We start from the raw sequence: 6,160 nt of genomic DNA, 5'->3' as shown, positions 1-6,160 counted from the left end.
AGAGGAAGGGAAAAGGAGATTCAGGACTAAAGAAATGGTAGGAGGGACGGTTTTTTTGTTTTGTTTTGTTTTGTTTTTGTTTGTTTTTTTTTTTAATTCTCCAAGAACAGTGGCTGTGTGGTGGCTAGCAAGAGGGCAGAGGAAAACAGAACTTCTTCCTGGCTTTTCGGTCTTATGATTCCAAACAAAGTCACAACGTGAACACCATTCTCGCTTACTTTCCCGAGCCTCTTCTGACGGACACTGCGGGCCCCTGCACCTGCAGCCCGTCATCATAGCTTCCTGTCTTTCTGAGAGCATACCCATCATAACGCCCCTCTCTCCCGCATCATCTTCTCTCGAGGTGAGAAATATGTGCGAGTCAATATCATGTTAAAAACAAATAAGAAAACAAGCAAACACACCACAACCCCACCTACAGCTTCCCCCAAAGGTTTCCTTCCTACAGGTCCCCAAAAGGTTTCCCAGCAGGATGGTGCAGTGGTGGCTAAAAACAAGGGTGTGTGGAAGATCCCGGAGTCCGGAACAGAATGTAAGAGTCGCTAGCTTTGTCTTCCTAATTCTCTCTTGTCATGGCTGTACAATGGAGATTAAACTATGAGCAGCCTGGCGCAGTGGCTCAGGCCTGTAATCCCAGCACTTTGGAAGGCCAAAGCGGGTGGATCACGAAGTCAGGAGTTCGAGACCAGCCTTGCCAACATGGTGAAACCTCATCTCTACTAAAAATACAAAAATTAGCTGGGCGTGGTGGTGCGCACATGTAATCCCAGCTACTGGGAAGGCTGCGGCAAGAGAATGGCTTGAATCCAGGAGATGGAGGTTGCAGTGAGCCGAGATTGTGCCACTGCACTCCAGACTGGGTGACAGAGCAAACTTTGTCTCAAAACAAAAAACAAACAAACAAACAAAAAACAACTGTGAGCTAACATTTTTCTCCACACTTATGCTCTAGACATGCCTTGTTATTTATATTTCAAGTATATTACCAAATAATTTTCACAGCAAAACCCATTTTACAGATGAGGAAACTGAGGCAAAAGGATACATAGTAAGTGACAGAACTGAGATCCAAATTCAGGGAGTCTGATTTCTGGCCTCAGGCCAGATAACCACACTATTAATAGTGAAATTAGCATTTAAACTGAAGTTTCAGTGTGCAATCCATGTAAATGTTTAGTGCAGTTCTTGACCATATGCAGTAAAATCTTCAGTCAATGTCTATTGCATTTATCCCTCTTCCCCTCTGTAGGGCAATGGAGTTGATCGAAAAGAAGATAGGCTCCTGGAGTCACACCATGTCTCCAGATCTGAGTTTCTTCTTTGATGGTGAATAACAACACATTCCTTTTAGAGTTTTGTTTGGATGACATTAGAAAGCAGTGCTAAAGTGACTGGCGCACTCACTAGCCTTTAATAGGGGCTCAATCCCTTTCTATCCTAAATTTATCCCAAATCCAGACTACATTCTCCCCACTCAGTCACTTCTTAACCCACTGCGGTTTGGATTTTGCCCTTAGCCACCCCGGGAACTGTTCTGCAGATAATAACACATATTTCAAGAGTAGTTGTGAGGATTAAATGAGATCATGTGTTTGATCTTTGCTTGGCATAAAGAACATAATAGCTTTTGTGATTAATAATGAAGATCTAATTGCAAAATTCAATAGGCCCTGGAAACTCTCTCTTTGATTTTTTCCCTGTGAACTATTGGTTGTTTTTCCATTCCTTTCTGCCCTTTCTCAGTTCTGTCAGCTGCCTCCTCTTTCTAGGCCTGCCTCAAGCGTTCCTGACATCTTTACTCTGCCCTTGGAAAATGCCAAATCCAGAAGAAAATTCTTTTTCAGTTCTTCTGCTTTGGTGGTCACCTCTGGCCTTTAAATATATAGTTCTGGGTCCCCCTCAGCTCCAGTCCTCCTTGCCAAAGAAGTTCATCCTCTTCCCCTTTGAAACCATCTTTGAGACTTCCCTCCCTTTAGCTACAGTGCATATTTCTGTCACAACATTTGCCACTCTGTACTCCACATGATTCTTCATTCATAGATACTGAAGACTGACAGCATGTCTACAATGGCTCCCTTCCCTTTGCTGCACCTCCAATCTGTTATTTAAGCCATAAGCATAAAATAAGAGTGCCATCTCACAGGGTTGTAGTAAAGAATAATTGGATAGTCCATTTCAAGAGATTAGCAGAGTGCCTAGCACATAGCAAATGCTTAAAAAGAGTCGGCTGAGACCTAAGAGAATCGCTTGTCTGTTTTTGTCTAAGGCAGAGATCAAGGCATACCCATCTTTATATTTTAATGACCAGCCATGTCATTCAGAATAATCATAGTAACAGGGGATGATGAGCAAGTAGAATAATCCCTAACAGAGATTCCCAGCTGTAATTCCAGACTAGAACAGAATATGGATATGGGAGCCAGCAAACCAGAGAACACTAGTAGCAACCAAATTTTGGACTTATAATAACTCATTTGCAACTAACATACATCCAGGAAGAGGGAGCAATGGATGAAATGGATGAAGCCAGCAGCAGCATGTCCAGCAATGACAAATAAATGGCACCCCTCCCAGACTCTTGGAATGACTTCTTGGGAAATTGAATTGAAAGCAAATTAAATGGGAAAAAAACAATTCCCTCATCAGCACACCTGGAGATGCCATCTTGTGATATTCAAGACAGTAGCACAGTGTTTCTTTTATCAAAGGCTGCAGAATCCCAGCTCTGGATGGATTAAATTGTTTCAGAATGCTGGCATCTTGAGATGCCTTCACTCAAATGGTTTAAATCATAGGATTCATATTTCTGGCTGAGCATCTGGTTTCCTTGATGTATGGAGGATTTGCAGCTTTTCAGGAGGAACTGAATTGAACATATTGGTAGTATACGTGCCTTGTATTTGATCTCTCTGTTGTGTTGCATTAATTAAGAGTTGTTTTAATTTTTAAATAATAGGTCTTTCCTATTTTATGTTAGAGGTTGTGACTGTTATAGCCAACTACTGAATCAGAGGATACTTATCAATCTTTTTTCCCAAACACAAGGAGAGTTAAAGGAAAGCATTTCTAAAACAGAAAACAACAGCAGATTAGTGGATTAGTGGATTCTGTTGCATTAAACTCTACTTTTGACTATAAAAACCCTATGTGTGTATGTATGAATGTATGTGTATTATGCTTGTCTTTATTGATATTCTTGAGTAATATACATTTATTTTCTAAAAACTTCCCATCAACCATTATTATTGAATACTTATGTAAGACTATATTAGCAGTTGTGAAGTTTTGGTTCCTTCCTCTTTTTTATTACTCCCATCCTTGATTCATTCACTCAATACATATTTAGTATCTATTGTGTTCTTGACAATTTCATGTTGAGAATACAAAGATAAAATGAAATGCTTCCTGTCCCCTGAAAACTTAGTCTACTTGGGAGATAGGAATAACCACTTGAAAAACTTAAAGGTATTTTTTTTTCCCCTGGCTGAGTAAGGCAGAGAGTGCTGCATGGGAGAGATGGTAGTTGAACTGAGATTTAAAAGCAAAGTAGGTGGTTTTCCGGGGGTATTTTAGATAGGCTATTTCAGACAGAGAAAGAATATCATCTACACTTAGGTGGGAGAAGTCTTTCTTCTGGGGTCCTCTTCCAAATTCATACCAATCTTTCTCTCCATTATTTCTTTAGTTAACTCACTTGAGTTATATGCTTGTATTTAGTTACCAATAACTCCACAAGTATTTCTAACCTTAAGTCTCTACAGTATTTCAGCTCCCCCCGCCCCAGTTTTTATAAACTGTGTTTATCCTGTTGATATCATAAATTCAGTGCATCTAAAATGAAACTGGTCATCCATCTTAATTATATTCTTGGTTTCCAAACCTTTATGTTGGCACTCTTATCCTTTTAGCCATCCACGTTCCAAGTCTTAGACTTCTATTCACCTTCTCCTTCTCTCTGAGCAACATAAATTAATTGCTAAATCATATAGAGGCTATCTCTGTTATTTCTTTCATTTATTCTCTTTATTTCTATTGCAACTCCTTTCATTTAGTTATTAATTTATTTTAATCTAGGCTATGTTTTTAGTCTCCTAAATAGCTTCCAGTTTTTCCCCACTCCAGATGAATCTGATTTCTATTGCTGCATAACAAATTACTACAAACTTAGAGGCTTAAAACAACACCCAATTATTATCTCACCATTCTGTAGGTTAGAAGTTCAGTGGGGCTCAGCCACGTTCTCTGCTCAGGATGTCACATTCAATGTGTTGGCCAGGTGGTATTCTTATCGGAAGGCTCTGGGTAGAAATCCTCCACCAAGCTTATTCAGGTTTTTGCAGAATCAAATTCCTTATATGTAATTGTAGGACCGCGGTTCCATATTCTTACTGGCTTTTAGCCAGGGCTTGTTATCAGCTACTAGAAGCCACTTGCCATTTTTTCTGTTTGTTCCCCCTCCATATTAAAAGCAGTAACAAATAATTTTTTGCATGTTGAATACAGTACTTCTAATTTCTTTCTCCAGAAAGAAACCCCATCTTTGTAAAGAGCATGTCTGAAGTGAGGTCTGCCAAGGATAACGTCCCATTCTTAAAGCCAACTTTTCCATTTAACATAAGTGAATCATATAATATGCCATCATATTCATAGTCTCCTCCAACATTCAAAATGGAGGGGATCGTACAAGATCATGGGTCACTGGGAATCACTTTAGAATCTTGCCTACCAAGTAACCATGTAAATACTGCCACTAGATTTATGTTCCTAAAACTTAGCCCACGAATGTTATAAACTTTCTCAAAAAACAATAAGTAACTGCTCATTACCAACTAAATTAAAAAAAAAGAAAAACCACCAAACACCTCAGTTTGGTACTTGTAGCCTTGCCCAATTTGTCCTCAACCTAGTTTTCTGTATCTCTCTCCTTTCTCACGTATCTCCTATGCACCAACCATACTATGTGCTTCTTCTCAACTTTCCTTCACTTGGCATATTCCATTGCCTGGTTTGTCCTCATTAAGATGCATCTGAAAATGCTACCTTTCTCATGATGTGATGCCTAATTAGTCTGATGTGTTGTGAGCTCTTAATCCTTTATTTTTCATAGCATTTAGTACTTATAGCATTAAGAGATTCTGTGATATGCTTCTTTTGTTTACTTTTATAAAGAAATGACTGTTTCTCTAATAAAATAAAACGCAGCTCCTCCAGGCTTGGCAGTACTGGGAGAACATCCACCTGGAGAGGGAGTGGCTGGACCTCTTGTCTGAATCCTTCTCCAGAAATTTTCCATCTACCGATCCTTCTCTGGCTGATTCCTATTTCTACTGTACTGCACTGTGGGATTCTGCTACTCTCTTCTCACTTATTCTGCCCTAAGCTTGAATACACAGATCATCCTTAATTTTTGTCTCAGATTTGAGACAAGCCTAGAACTTGCTGACAATAATTGACTACAGGCTCATGGGAATAAACACACAGAGATCAACGCATACCACCATATTAGGTTGGTGCAAAAGCAATTGCAGTTTTTGCCATTGCTTTTAATGCCAAAAACCGTAATTACTTTTGCACCAAACTAATATATCTGGCAAAAATTTTTGCTCTTGATTTCCTGCTATTTGGGTCTTTTTCTTCCTGGCTCCTGTCCCACTATCATTTTTGCTAACAATTTTTTACTGAATATCCACTATGAACCAGACGTTCTTCTAGGTGCTGGAGATGCAATTGGGAACGAAGTGAAAGTTTGTCTCTTTTTTTAAAGTCTAGAGTCAAGACAGTAAGATCAAGAGAGGCAGGAACAGATGTTCCCTCTCTCATTTGTTCATACCTATTCATCAAATGTACATTATGAACCACACACTGTTCTAGAAGCTGAGGATATAGCCATACAAAAGACTTGTGAAATCCCTACCCTCATGGGGTTTATATTCCAAAAGAAATAGACAATAATCTCAAACCAAAAAAAAAAAAGTATTTTCTAGAATACCATGAAAACAGTAGAACAAAGTAGTAGATCAAGAATGGTGTGTATGTGGGTGTGGTAAGTGGGCTGATTCTCTGGCTGAGAATGGGTGGAGTGGTGGTATTCTAGGGTGGTGAGGTGGTCAGGAAGGGCTTCTCTGAGGACATGGCATTTGAACTGAGACCTATATGATAT

This window comes from Homo sapiens, chromosome 4 (genome assembly GCF_000001405.40).
Source record: "Homo sapiens chromosome 4, GRCh38.p14 Primary Assembly".
Classification (NCBI taxonomy): Eukaryota; Metazoa; Chordata; class Mammalia; order Primates; family Hominidae; genus Homo; species Homo sapiens.
The sequence above is the reverse complement of the archived record's forward strand: the minus strand, read 5'-3'. Positions refer to the sequence as shown.